General features: G+C 44.1%; 1 protein-coding gene across 1 annotated transcript in view; it reads right to left on the reverse strand.

Moving 5' to 3' along the window:
- Positions 1–355: 355 nt before the first annotated feature.
- HEG1 (heart development protein with EGF like domains 1) overlaps positions 356–15314 on the reverse strand; it is a 90288-nt gene continuing 75329 nt past the window's right edge. The window contains exons 15-17 of the mRNA NM_020733.2: positions 12505–12592; positions 8377–8551; positions 356–5447 (exon numbers count right to left, since the gene is read on the reverse strand). Coding sequence (NP_065784.1) covers positions 5298–5447; positions 8377–8551; positions 12505–12592 — 413 coding nt within the window. The 3' untranslated portion in view covers positions 356–5297. The remainder of the gene's footprint in view (positions 5448–8376; positions 8552–12504; positions 12593–15314) is intronic.

The following is a 15314-nucleotide window of genomic DNA, read 5'->3' on the forward strand; positions in this document are numbered from 1 at the left end:
ATTCTCCCCACCAGAGCACACATAGGCTTACTTTCCCCTCTCCTCCAACACATGAAGAGTTGGCATGGAAGGGATAGTGGGAGACATTGAGGAGGGAATTGTAAGTATCTGAATTGGTCACTTATGGTCTCCAATTCACATAAACAAAAGCAGGTGCTGTATCTAAGTTTGGCTTCCTGCCATTTAGGTCTGTTTGTCCATCCATCCATCATCAAAAGTGTACCTCCCCAGTGCTGGGCACTGAGAATACAGAAATGACTCAGCTTCCACATTTGCCATGTGGAAGCTCACTGTACAACTGGTAACTTGTTGCATTCTGGTCTGGTTTTCTTGTTATTAAGAGGAAAACACACAATGAAAATGATATTAATTTTATTGCATCATTTTACTGACTAGAACGCCAGACTTAGAGTGGATATAAGTATAAAAATAACCAAATTCTTACAAATAATACTTTGCTGCTACAGTACTGAATAATTAGTGGAGGTTGCAATTATAATACAACTTTAAATAACATTCTCATAATGGGTTTAACACAATCAACCAGGGGCTAAGGTTTAAAGGTTTACAAAGAGAAATCCAGGACAACATGAAAACTCCCAAAGTTCATATTCCAGCTAAATGCTTCATTTAACCGTCAATCCACCAACACAAACATTAACAAAACTCAGAGCAACTCATGATGAAACAGTCGTTCTCTTTTTAGGACAGGCCAAGGTTAATACAGAAAGGTAAATGATTCGGATTAGTTTCCCAGGCAGAACTGACTCCATCCCATCCCTGGCCTATCCCATCCTCCCTACCCAAGAAATCTGTAATGAAGTATGTTAAGTGCATTTTAAAAATCTGAATATGCAAATTCTTCAAAATGTCCTCTTTGAAAATGCCCAGGTGACAGACCCAGTCTCGGACCTGTCGCTTTTTAGACCTGAATGGTCCCCCTTTGGTTTCATAGGGTTTTCTGTGAGCAGTTTACACCAGATATGATGGAGTATAACGCTAATGAAGATACTTTACTACAACAAATTAATTGGCATTTAATACTTTCATGTTCCTACTATTTTAGTCAGTTCTCTTCCTTGGAGATTTAAGAAAAAAAGAAAACATACCCAAAGGCAAACTCTACAAAACCAGTATCTCTATTTCCAAAAACACACATGAGAACCTCAGAATGACACTTTGTTAAGGGAGGAAATGAAATGTCCCTTCTCATCCACACAAAAGCTTTCAGACAGGAAAAAAAAGATGCTACTAAGGGTAATTTCAAGTAAAATACAAAGTATTGAAATACTGAACTTTGCATTCTTCCTCTTTCCAAAGAAGTGCTGTAGTCTCAAAATTTGTGTATTTTAGAACTATGGGTCAAAACCCTGTGTGTTAGGCTAAACTTAGCCAAGGGCAACTGGAGTGGACAGCTCCTCTTCCTCAGGCAGAGTTAAATCGGCTTACAGGACACCCGGGCATCTCACCAGGGGGCAACACAGTTTCATGCAGGCACCAAAAAGCCACACGTGGTGGGTGACCCAAAGGTGCCTGCTCTGGGAACTTTCACATCTGAATAGGTGTCATCCTTCAATGGCATATTCTTGGGTAGCCATCCAGCCTAGGAGTCCAAAGATGCTGCCTTCTCCCTTGGGCCCACTTTAAGAGTTACCTCTTTAAGAACTCAATCGTCACATCTTAGTTTTTGACCTCAGATGCCATCAGCCAACTTGACTGAACCACCTATCAGCAATTTTGGCTCTAAATGTCTTAGCTGCTTCTGAAAATATACTTCCCCTCAAAGGAGGAAGATGTGTCAGCGTTTAAGACATTCCACTGAATATGTTCCCAATTCTGAAAACAGTTCACAAAAATATGCTTCCAGTATGTGGGAGCCATGGCCTTACCACGGGAACAAGGCAAGCAGCTCTCAGATGGATGTGTATGTCTGACTGCACTTGTCAGAAACCCAGGTCCTTGCCTTCCACTTCCTATACCAAAGCCACGTGCCAGTGTGCTTCTTGCTGAGCACAAGCCAGCCACTATTTTCTTAATGACAAGTGTCTAAGAATTACATATAAAAAACAATCTGAAAGCACATTTTCAAAAGGGTAGTCAGCATTTTTTTTTTTTTTTTTTTGCATTTCACGTCACTAATTTGGTTACTTCTTAAAAATAATATTAAGGTTCCTTAAAAAAATAACTTATCTTTAAAGCCCTTTCTCTCTTGCCCTCTTTGATATTTAAGGTATACAGGATGGTGAGGGGTGTGCCAGGACAGTAAGGCAGGGGGCTACAGTGGGCAGAGTAGCTGGGGGAGTCAGGCAGACAAGGGTTTCAGTCCTGCTTCTACAGGGCAAGCTATTTATCCTCTCTGAAGGTTTCTGTACCTGAGAAATGGGCACTTCCATGCCCACCTCTCAAGGATACTGTGAGGAGCCTTGCCCAGAGCCTGGTCATGGTAGGAGCATGTCAGTTCATCCGCCTAAAGAAACAGACTCCAGGGCCTTAGGCTGGCTCAAGGGGCAGAGGAAAAGACAATGGCAATAAGACCCTCTGGAGCTTAAACCAAACCACTGATGCCAGGGAGCCAGCCAGCCACCCTTCCCTGCTGCAGTGTGTGACGGGACACACAGATGCCCCTGCGCCCGGCTCCTCTCTATGGAGGTTTAAGCATCTCTTGAGCAGTTACACATCACTTGCCCCTTCCTCTCACCTTCCCCCATCTGTGGGATATTGGTGCAGGATTGTGGCATCTGTGCACGTGAATCACACACCCCAGGTGCAGGGGCTGACATGGAGCACTGTGTCTGGGCGGAGAGCCTCGGCGTGCCAGGTGTGCATCCAGGCCTCTTCTGCTATCAGGTGTTTCCCCTCGGCCTAGGCGGGACCCTTCTGCAGCTAGGAACCCCGTGCAGGAGTGCAGCTGGCCTCTCCCTTCCTCACTGGGTCACAGACATGCTTTACTCATGTCCCCTTAGAGCCTCATGCTCTGGAGGTGCCTTCCCCACCCCCAAACGCCTCCTGGAAACTGTGGAGACTGTGTGACCTCAACCTTGTGGGTGCCTCCTTTTTTTCTCAGTTAGAACAACAAAATAAAACACTCTTAATCCACTCCATACGGAAGAAACCCATGAACAAGAAGCATTGTTGGAACTCACAGGACACCGTTTTCTCGATGTTGGGATTCTTCCCAAGAATGTTTTCAGGACAGAACACTTCATTTTGTGGAGCTGAAGTCTTCTGGCTCCGATAGAGGAGATGATTTGTCAGCTGTGACGTCAGCTGAAGGCAGTGGAAGTGTATGCCTGGGAATAGCCTCCCTACATGGCTCTTCCCACAGCTGCGGGTTCTGGGGGTGAGCAGGCATGCTGCGGAAGGAGCCAAGAAGCCTAGTCTGTGGGCTCAGGTGAGCTGCAGGAGCTCAGAACTCTCCAGTTAGGTGCGAGGCCGTGAGCCACAAAGGGCCATTGGTTCTACAGAGAGAGAGGCCCAAGATTTCAAAAAGGCGACACTTTGAAATTTTAGGTTAGCCTCCACTGATAAAAACAGTTCTCCTTTTATTTATCTCATGGATAAGTGCAATGTAACTACTAAAATGCACCTCCCCTGACTAGGACTCTTGCTACAGCAGGGTGATGGTGAGTGGTGGAGACCATGGGACACAGGAGTTCTTGCTTAAAACCATCAGGGCCAAGGATTATGTAAGAATAGGGATTATATTTAGAGGACCTTGAAGAAACAACCATGCCCGGGGCAGAACTGTCCCCAGTGGCTGCACCATTTCCAGAAATGTGAAGCGGGACTCCCCGCTTCAGGGTGGAGACAATTCTTTTACCTCTGTATTCCCCTCACTTCATCCAAAACCAGGATGCCCCAAAGAAGGCCAATAAACACAGTTCCCCAGGTGGCAATTAAAGACACCGAGTACTGGATGTCTCCCTGGCAGGACCCACATCACAGGCATAATAAATAAGATGAGTGGAACTTCCTTCCCGAAGGTCAACCCTCAGTTCCTCGACCAACCGGAAGTCTTCAGTTCTCCCACACTGACTGGAAGTATAACCACGTTTCTGGAGGGTGCGACATAGCCATATGAAGAGGTACAAATGACTGGGTGAGAAAAAAAAGTTATTTCTTCAGCCGAATAAACAGCTTTGAGTGGTTGAAAGTTTACATGGGGTTTGTGGACATGAGATTCTGGGTACAAAGTGCTGCAGTAGCCGGTGAGCAAACTCATGTGTGGCTCCATCTCGGCTCCCTGTTCTTCCTCAGGAATCCACACAGCTTCCCAAAGCACTGTTGATGCAGGAAATCTAACCTGCCTATTCAGCCCATCCCTCTAACCACATCCAGCTGCAGGGGCTCAACAAGCTGCTTTCCTAGAGTGGTGAAACCTGCGTTCAGTTTGACATTTCTCCTCCATACGCAGCTGCCTCTGGCCTCCACAATGGTGATCGAGTCCCAGGCCCCAGGCTGGGCCCTCATGGATGAAAAGTGCCCCCCTGCCTGCAATCTGCCTGCTGAGCCTCCAGCTAAAACCAAATATAAGTTGTTTTGCCCTGATCCAGGCTTGTTTGAAAAAGTGAGATTTAACTGCAAAGAGATTTAAAAAAAAAATCTTAAATACATGTGTCACCTTGACTTAAAAAACACATTGCAGTTGTGTGCGGTGCCTCACACATTTCCTCACTGTGGGGGCTGGCTTGGAAACTGTAGCATAAGACAACCTAGAAACATATGAAAACACTGTCCGTTCAATGGCGACATCTTCAGACTTCAGTGGTACGCTCATCCTCATCTGTTGTTTAGCACGCAGGCGCTGGGCAGGAAAATAATTAACAAGCCAGTATTTTGCTGCAAATGAATCACCAAATTGCTGCCTATGGAAGTGTCTCGGGAAAGGAAGCCTTCTTTCTGGAACAGTCTCAAAACAGATCCAAAAGGAAACCTCCCACCCAATTTACTAAAGTGCAAACGAAGGGAAAACCAGGTCCCTGCACTGAAGTCTAGTGGTCTGCCCTGGCTAATAGTCGCCCTGGTGCCAGTGCCATGGTGCAGTCACTCAGAGAGACTCTCTTGATACTGGCCCACATTCACGTTCACAGTAACAACAAAGGTGCTGAATGAGCAGCCTGTGGTTCCACATCCACCTGTCTCCTCCACTGTGGTCACGCCCCGCATGCCTGTCCCTCTTCCTGCTTGCCACTCAGCGTGGCTCCCGACAAATCCTGGGCGCAGCCTCCTGGTGCGGTCCTCTGAGCAGAGGTCCCAGGTGACTGGCTCAGAGCAATGAGTCCCTCTCTCTCCTGGACTTAAAAGTAGTCTCTTCTTCTGCTTTCATCACTGATGAAAGACGGGTTATACTGTCCGGGGAAAATGCAAGAATGCCGTGATCCTGGCAGTCCAGTGTAGGCCGGGTAGAGTCCGTTTCGTTCAAGTTCTGGATTCCTTACACTTGTAGGCTGGTTGCCAAAGAGAAAAGAAGAAAAGTCAATTTATCATTCTTGGGTTTAAATTGCAGTGTTAAATCCCAATGATTTTAGACCAATGTAAGAAAAGATCTGGGTTTATCCTGTATGATGTGGTTCTACCAATTATTTCTAATTTTTTTAAAGTATCTTTCTCTCTGGAGCACAACCCACTTTAATCCTTCCTGTCCCAGCAACCATGCAGAAGGCAACTGATGCAAACGGAGGAACTGACCTTTATAAGGTCCTACGACCATCTAGTTGCAGGTGGAGTTAGGACCCCAAACCAGGAGGCCAACAGCAATCCTCAAGTGACCAGTTGGATCTCAAAAAAAGGCTCCCTGGGAATAAGAGGGGCTACTTTGAGGAGGCCTTCAAAGTAGCAACAAAGGTAAATTATTTCTTGGCAGAAATAAAATACTAGCTACTATGTATCATAAATAAGTTGCAGGAGAGCCCAATGTGGGAATCACCTGGACGACACCTGAGCCCACTGTGTGGAACAGCTTGTCTACCCAGGTGACAGCTTCATGCCCTAAGCTTAGGCTCTGCCTCTACAGACTGCTCAGCCAGCTATTTTTTTCCTTCTTTCTTTTTCTTTTCCTCCTTCCTTTCCTTTCTCCTTTCCCTTTCTTTCTTTTTCTTTTTTTACCTTTCCCTCTCTTTCTTTCTTTTCTTTTCTTTTTCTTTTTCTTTCTTTTTTTAGATGGAGTCTCACTCTGTCGCCAGGCCGGAGTGCAGTGGCACAATCTCGGCTCATTGCAACCCCTGCCTCCTGGGTTTGAGGTACTCTCCTGCCTCAACCTCCCGAGTAGCTGGGACTACAGGTGCATGCTACCAAGCCCAGCTAATTTTTGTATTTTTAGTAGAGACGTGGTTTCACCATGTTAGCCAGAATGGTCTCGATCTCTTGACCTTGTGATCCACCTGCCTTGGCCTCCCAAAGTGCTGGGATTATAGGCGTGAGCCACTGCGCCCGGCCTTTTTTTTTTTTTTTTTGAGACAGGGTCTTGCTCTATTGCCCAGCCTGGAGTGCAATGGCACAAACACTGTTCACTGTAACCTTGACCTCCTGGGCTTAAGTGATCCTCCTGCCTTAGCCTCCTGAGTAGCTGGATGTACAGGGGTCCACCACCATGCCTGGCTAATTAAAAAAAGAAAAAAATTTGTAGAGACAGGGTCTCACCATGTTGCCCAGGCTGGTCTTGAACTCCTAGGGTCAAGCAATCCCCCGATCTTGGCCTCCCAAAGTGATTACAGGGATTATCGGCATGAGCCACTGTGCCTGGCCAGCCTGCTATTTTTGGAATAAAAATGGGGTTCATTTACATTCTTGACTACGTTTATTTAAGGTAACTCTTTAATACCATGGAAACATGCAGTGAAGTTGGTTCCTATGATGTCACAGGCCTGTTTGTTGCTAGTTATTGAACCGTGCTGGGGCTGAGGAGTCCCGAGTAAAGGATGAGAGTGTGGGGACACACCAGGGTAAAATACCAGCTCAGTTATAGCTTCAGTTAGTAAAGGAAAAGGACTTTCCTGATAAACAGAGAAACAAAGCCCAATGCAGAAATATCAATGGGAATATTTTTGCTAGAGCTAAGTTTGTATTTCTTTATGTTTTTTTCCTTATTTATAACTTTTTGTTCTTCCTCTAGGTTCAAATTTTTCAAAAAGAGTCCATGGAAATAAACAGCTTCTTAGCATGAACAAACTTGTCCCTCCCATCCAAAGTCTGCATCCCCATGGTCAATTGCCACAGCAACCAGAGGAATTATGGTTTCTGTCACAAGATTGTCTAACACCATTAAGTCCCCATGGGGCAAGGTTTCACATTTATTGCTATTCCTCAGACAGCTCCACATGGCACGAGAAGTCACCTGATAACTGTTTACTTTTCAGCTCAGATACGCCTGTTCGTGTTTGCTTTATGGTTGATACAGTGATATGAAATGAGCTGGGCAGTTTACAGGAATATGACACAGGTTAAATTCAATATGGGAGAAAGGCAGCAAGGGTTCAAGGTTGTCTCCTACCTTTCCAAATGATGCAGTCCAGGCTGGACATAGCAAATTATTAAAGGCCTACTGAGTATACAATATTCTAAACCTGAGAAGTGCTTGTTGAGGACGACATTGAATTGTTGTTCTCTTTATACCTTTTCCCCATCCCCTAGTTGGTTTTTTTGTTGTTGTTGTTTATTATTGCTATTATTATTATTATTATTATTTTGAGATAGGATCTCACTCTGTTGCCCAGGCTGGAGTACAGTGGTGCAATCTTGGCTCACTGCAACCTCTGCCTCCCCAACTCAAGCAATCCTCCCATCTTAGCCTCTCAAGTAGCTAGAACCACAGGCGAGCACCACCATGCCAGGCTAATTTTTTGTAGAGAGGAGCACGGTTTCTGTAGAGACATGATTTCACCATGTTGCCCAGGCTGGTCTCAAACTCCTGGACTCACAAGATCTGCCCACCTCGGCCTCCCAAAGTGCTGGGATTACAGGTGTGAGCCACTGTGCCCAGCCACCAATCCTCTAGTTTTAAGTACCTAACCACACAAGGTAAGCATGGCAGACAGGAGATAAAAATGAAAGGGCCAAAGGCTAAATATCACTAAATTCTTGCTCTACCTTTCAGTTTCCATTCCTATAACTTAAAAGCCAAGTTTAGTAACAAGAGGGTTACTGCTACAACCACATAAATATAATGTGCTTTATGGAAATATCCTTCATACCTCAATAGCAACACTGATAAGTACCATGCAAATAGACTGTAGGTAAACTGACTAGTAAATCAGAGGTTCATGCCACTACTCTTTAACCCTTAACTAACTGTAATGCTTTTACTACAACAAAACAGAATTCCTTTACTTCTCAGAGGAACCGGGGGCCCTGGGGTCATCCTGACACAGGAATACACACCGAGTAGTACACATCCGTCATCTGGAGGAGGTTTTTGGTACTTCCATTCTCATGCATTTCAATAGCTTCTCGGCCCCATTCTTGTGAGCGAGGATTTTTGGGGTATTCAGCATACGGGGACATTTGGAAATCTCCACTTTTGAAGATGAGTTTGCTTATGTCATTTTTATTCTTTCTGTGGGATACAAAAATATTTGTAAAGCTCAATTCCGTAAAGAAGTGATACTGTGAAAGCACCAACTATGATTTTATAATGTAAATTCAACTGAAAGCTACCATTATATTTATTTGTAGCTGCCCACTGAGTAGTATTATTATTGTTGTTATTTGGTATTTGCCTACAACAAGTAAATATGCAGTTAGGTGCAAAAAAAGATACAAAAATTCTTCCAACCCAAAGGGGCCAGATTATCAGGGGGTAGGGGGACAAAAACAGCAGCAATAGGGCAGATTTAGACTCTTCTACAGGACAGAGATCACTGTGTCTTGGGGGTGGCCAGGAAAACAAGGGTCATAAATTCACAGAATGCTGGAGCCAGAGGGGCCCTTAGACTCATTCTAGTCCAGTGGATCCCAAGCTGCCCAAGCATCAGAATTTACATGGGAAGAGTCTGGGTCTCCCCCAGATTGACTGAATCAGGAGCTCTGGGGATAGGATGGGGCAGCTCCAACTCAGTAAAGAGACCTGACTTGTCCTCTGGGTCACCTTTTGCTACTAGAAGGTGTGGAACTAGAATTCAGGCCTCCAACTCTCCGGGCAGTGCTCTTTCTACTACACGAAGCAAATATTTCACAAGTCATAAAAACAGAATGGTTTGTTTATGAAAAAGCCCACCTATTTATACACCTGTACAAATTCTCATTTCAGCAGGTTACAGAAATGCTACTCGTGAGATCTCACTGACTGCAAATTGTTGGAATCTGTGTTCTTCACCTATCTAACCGGTCCAGGATCAGAAATTTTAAATTATATTTGTCACAGATAGGATAATCTGAAATCTTTTTCTTTCTACCTCACTTAAAGTACAAATAAGTTTTCTAGGGAAGGCAAAAAGTGACTCAGGGTCATAAAACCAAATGTCTAGCATGTGGCTTAGGTGCTGGCTCTTTGTGGAAGTTGGGAACAGACCTGCCACTGTGTTGCTTCCTGGTGGGTGGGGTACCTGGGCTCAGACAATGACATACTCATGCACAACTACCTTCTCTTCTCAGGAGCCAGCAGGCACAGGCTCCTTCCCCAAATGGGTACACCACACAGTACAGAACACGTAGCAAATATGAGGCTTCTGTCCCTTGAGCGCTCAGGTTATGTCCCTCTAGGTAACCATTCCTAGTCTCATCCCCTGAAGTTTATTTCCACTCATATGGTTTATCTTTGATGATTTGATGGCAATTTGGAAAATAATAGGCAAAGGCTATACCATAAGGGCTGCATTCCTAGTTGGGCAGTTAGGGCACATTGCTCTCTGCTGCCTTTTTGAAGACAGAGGATATCTTAAAATGTCCTTTATGTCAACGGTAGAAAAGATAACTAGCTATTTTGGGAGGTTCCCCCCATCTGTTACATCTAGATAATTCCTGCCATTATTATCATCTAAGTCAGAGGTCATAATTTTCCCTTATCTGAATAGATCATCACAGAGAAGGGGAATCAATTTCCTCCTTTCTCTTCCTTTTCCAATAGAAACCCAATCTCAGTGGCTTCCAGGAAGCCCAAAGCATCCCACACTGCTGCTACAACTTCTCTACTGCAAAAATATTTCATCTTTCTTTGTCTGCTTCTCTTTCTGTACATAGCTTTACTGAGAAACAGTTCACATATCATGCGATTCACTCATTTAATGGTTTCTGGCATATTCAGACTTGTGCAACCATCATCACAATTTTAGAACAGTTTCATCACCCCAAGAAGAAACCCCATACCCCTTAGCCACCATCTTCCAATTCTCCCCTTTTCCCCACCATTCTGGCCCTAGACAACCATTAATCTACTTTCCAACTCTATTAGATTTGCCTATTTCAGATAAGTCATATAAATAGAATCATACAGTAGGTGGTCTTTTGGGACTGGCTTGTTTCACTTAGCGTATTTTCAGGGTTCACCCATGTTATAGTATGTATCAGTACTTCATTCATTTTATGCCGGAATCATATTCCATTGTAGAAATATATCACATTTTGTTTATCCATTGACAAACATTGGTAGAGTTTTCACCTTTTGGCTATTGTAAATAATGTTGCTGTGAACATTGACGTGAAGTTTTTGTGTGAGTATACCTTTTCACTTCTCTTGATATACCTAAGAGTGGAAGTGCTGGGTCCAATGGTAACTCTGTCTTTAACTTTCAGACTTTTTCAAAGCGGCTGCACCATTTTACATTCCCACTAGCAGTGTATGGGGGATTCTGATTTTTCCACTTCCTCACCAATGCTTGTTATTTTCTAGGTGTTTTTTTGTTTTGTTTTGTTTTGTTTGAGACGGAGTCTGGCTCTGTCACCCAGGCTGGAGTGCAGTGGCATGATCTCAGGTCACTGCACCTCTGCCTCCCAGGTTCAAGCAATTCTCCTGCCTCAGCCTCCCGAGTAGCTGGGATTACAGGCATGCACCACCACACCCAGCTAATTTTTTATATTTTTGGCGGAGACAGGGTTTCACCATGTTGGCCAGGCTGGTCTTGAACTCCTGATCTGAAGTGATCCACTCGCCTCGAACTCCCAAAGTGCTGGAATTACAGGCTGAGCCACTGTGCCCAGCAGCTATTTTCTATTTTTTTTTTTTTTAATAGCCATCTTAGTGGGTGTGAAGTGGTGTCTCATGGTGGTTTCGATTTGCATTTCCTAGGTGACTAATGATGTTGACCATCTTTTCGTGTGTGCCACGATCGGGATATAGTTTGTCCCCACCCAGTCTCATGCTGAAATTTAATCCCCAGTGTGGAGGTGCTGGGGGATGGGGCCTACAGGGAGGTGTCTGGGCCATGAGGGCAGATCTCTCATGAAAGGACTAATACCTTTCCTGGGAAAGCTGGTTGTTCAAAAGAGCCTGATACCTCTCCCCTAGCCCCCCACCTCTTGCTTTCTTTCTCATCAGGTGGCTCCCTTCATCTTCTTCCAGGAGTGGAAGCAGCCTGAGGCCCTCACCAGATACAGACGCCCAATCTCAAAATTTGCAGCCATCAGAATTGTGAGCCAAATAAACCTTTTTCTTTAGAAACTACCCATTGATATGGTTCGGCTATGTCCCCATCCAAATCTCATCTTGAATTCCCACGTGTTGTGGGAGGGACCTGGTGGGAGATGGTTGAATCATGGGGGTGGGTCTTTCCCATGCTGTTCTCATGATAGTAAATGAGTCTCATGAGATCTGATGGTTCTATACGGGGGAGTTTCCCTGCACAAGCTCTCTCTTTGCCTGCTGCCATTCACGTAAGACATGTCTTGCTCCTCTTTGCCTTCCACCATGATTATGAGGCTTCCCCAGCCACTTGGAACTGTAAGTCCATTAAACCTCTTTATTTTGCAGATTGCTCAGTCTTGGGCATGTCTTTATCAGCAGTATAAAAATGGACTAATATACCCAGCCTCAGGTATTCCTTTACAGCAATACAAAATGGACTAAGACAATGTGCTTATTGGCCATCTGTATCTCTTCTTTGAAGAAATGTCTATTCAAGTGTTTGTCCAGTTTTAAAATTAGGTTGTTGAGTTGTAAGAGTTCCTTCTATATTCTAGATACAAGTCCCTTATTAGACACATAATTTGCAAGTATTTTCTCATGCAACCCATATTTGCAAGTATGGGTTGTCTTTTCACTTTCTTGATAGTGTCCTTTGGAGTACAAAAGTTTTTAATTCTGATGAAGCCCAGTTTATTTCTTTTTTCATTTCCTGCTTGTGCTTTCAGCTATTCTTTTCTAATAAAGAAAATGAAGTTCCATTTACTCCCCTTCTTTTTCCTCACAGGCACCAACTATCGTGAATTCCCTTTCTCCTTTTTTAAAAATGGGTTAGTCACACATTATGGTTTAATATTGTGAACCATCTCAAGTATCCTGTAAAAGAATACAAACTGACCCTTGTATAGCACAGGCAAAGGAACGGGATTGGAACCTGAACTCTCATCACTTACCTGCAACAGGTAACAATCAGTGCGATGCCTAGGATGAGCAGGAGCCCACCTCCCGCGGCTGCGATCACCACAGTGATAAGCTGATAGGCTAAACGTAAAACAAACAAAAAAGCATATTGGCTGGAGGTAATGAAGGAATGAGTGAGTTCTCAAGAATGGTCTCCCCTGACTCTACAGTCACCACCCTGCCTTGAGGGGTGCCCTCGCCTACAACTTCCTACTCTCTGGCAAGGGATCCTCAATGGCTATCTCCAAGGCTCTCCATATTGAGAAGAGTTTTTTGTTGTTGTTGTTGTTGTTGTTTTCTGAGACAGAGTCTCACCCTGTCGCCCAGGCTGGAGTGCAGTGGTGCAATCTCAGCTCACTGCAACCTCCGCCTCCTGGGTTCAAGCGATTCTCCTGCCTCGGCCTCCCAAGTAGCTGGGACTACAGGTGCGTGCCACCAGGCCCGGCTAATTTTTTGTATTTTTAGTAGAGACAGGGTTTCACCGTGTTAGCCAGGATGGTCTCAATCTCCTGACCTCTTGATCCACCTGCCTCGGCCTCCCAAAGTTCTGGGATTACAGGCGTGAGCCACCGCGCCCGGCCGAAAAGCTCCCTTTTTTAAGCCACTCCTAGGATGGTGGCTCCTAACTTTTACCTGTGCACCAGCCCCGATGAAATTTTCACCAACCCACGGTAGAAAGAGAAAAATAAATGTGAGTTATGAGTTTTTTAAAAACTTAATTTGTTCCTCTTTGATAACTGTTCTATAATCTAAGATTTTTGTCCTTTCTACTTTTCTCTGTCACTTAAGATGGATGCCTTTTATCATGTGTAAATTATGCCTCAGTAAATCTGATTTTTATTAAAGTAATGGATGGGTCCAGGAGACCGAGGTTGCTGTGAGCCGAGATCAAACCACTGCACTCCAGCCTGGGTGACACAGTGAGACTCTGTCTCAAAAATAAATAAATAAATAAATAAATAAATAAATAAATAAATAAAAAAGTAATGGAGATAACGCAGAATCTTTTCTTGGTCACTTCCCACCCTTTGGTGTTGTTTAATTTTTTGAGTTAATGGTGATAGTAGATATAAAAATTCTTTTTTTTTTTCTTTTTTTTTCCGAGACGGAGTCTTGCTCTTGTTGCCCAGTCTGGAGTGCAATGGTGCGATCCCGGCTCACTGAACCTCCACCTCCTGGGTTCAAGCGATTCTTCTGCCTCAGCCTCCTGAGTAGCTGGGATTACAGACACGTGCCACCATGCCCTGCTAATTTTTTTGTGTTTTTAGTAGAGACGAGGTTTCGCAATGTTGGCCAGACTGATCTCGAACTCCTAACCTCAGGTGGTCCACCAGCCTCGGCCTCCCAAAGTGCTGGGATTACAGGCTTGAGCCACCATGCCTGGCCTAAAAATTCTTGATTCAGTTCTAGATTTTTACTTGATAAAATAAAAAGGAGGCAACCCTAGGTTAGACTCCGCAATTTTATAAGGAACATTACTGATCAGTTAAGTCCAGAGTCTGGGAATCACTGCATCAACCATGCTAGGGACTGAGTAGCTCCTCAATAGATACACATCAAATTTAATTACCAGAAATTAGCAGTGATTTAAGCAAGTACATATCATATGTAGAAAGCAATATTAAAAGCTTTAATTAATTGCTTTTATATCTATGTATTTCTGGTAAAATCATATCTTCAATAAATTTTATTAAATATTCCTATTGATTTTTTGGTTGTGGAAATACAAGAAAATTGTGTTCTCTAGTTGTAGGATCCAGGATGAAACACCAGTAGCCGGATTCTCGATAGTAAATTAAGATTGGAGCCTGTAATCCCAGCACTTTGGGAGGCCGAGGCAGGCAGATCACGAGGTCAGGAGATTGAGACCATCCTGGCTAACACGGTGAAACCCCGTTTCTACTAAACAAGGATGTAAACAAGGATGAGGTACAGGGCTGACACCTTCCTCCCCTCCTCACCAAGCTTCTAGAGCACTAGGTGCTGGTTGAGAATGAAGACAGGCAACAGGTAGACTATGAGCAAATACAAGCCATGCAACAATTTTCCTATCCTTTTATTTAAATAAATAGCACAGAAACCTGGCTATTACGTAAAACCATCAGTATTAGGATACAAAAGCCATCAGTATTAAGATACACAGGAAACAAAGCCAAGCCACAGAATAAACACATTCTCTTCCTTACCTCCCAACACATGTATTTGAAAGTTTCTTTTTTAACAAAAGTGAAGACAGAAAACAAACCTCTTGAATTTATCCACTTTTCTTCATCTCCCCCAACATGGCTCTGAGCTACCATCATCCCTTGTCTGGACAACTGCAGCTGCTTCCCAACGCATCCACCTGTGCCCAGTCTTGTCCACTCACTATTATAGAAAGCAAATCTGATCTTGCCATTTCCCTGCTTTAAAAAACCCTCTGTGGCTCCCTTTTTTCCTAAAGACCAGAGTCTGGCTCCTGCTTATCCTGCCACACCAAGTTAAATTTTCTCACTTCCAACAAAACAAGTAAGCATCCATTTTAGAAGTGACCCTTTCAAGTGGCTGCAGCTGTAGCAGGTTCCTGTTGGAAACAAGCAGTTTTGTCTAAAAAGAGACACAGATGGTGTACACCAGTGCTTCTCAAACTATCTGTGGTCAAGGACCAGTTTTTTTATTTTTTTTTTATTTTTACAGACTCTGGCTCCATTGCCCAGGCTGGAGTGCAATGGTGTGATCTCGGCTCACTGCAACCTCTTCCTCCCAGGTTCAAGCGATTCTCATGCCTCAACCTCCTGAGTAGCTGTGATTACAGGCACGCGCC

Source organism: Homo sapiens, chromosome 3 (assembly GCF_000001405.40).
Source record: "Homo sapiens chromosome 3, GRCh38.p14 Primary Assembly".
In the NCBI taxonomy this organism is placed as follows: Eukaryota; Metazoa; Chordata; class Mammalia; order Primates; family Hominidae; genus Homo; species Homo sapiens.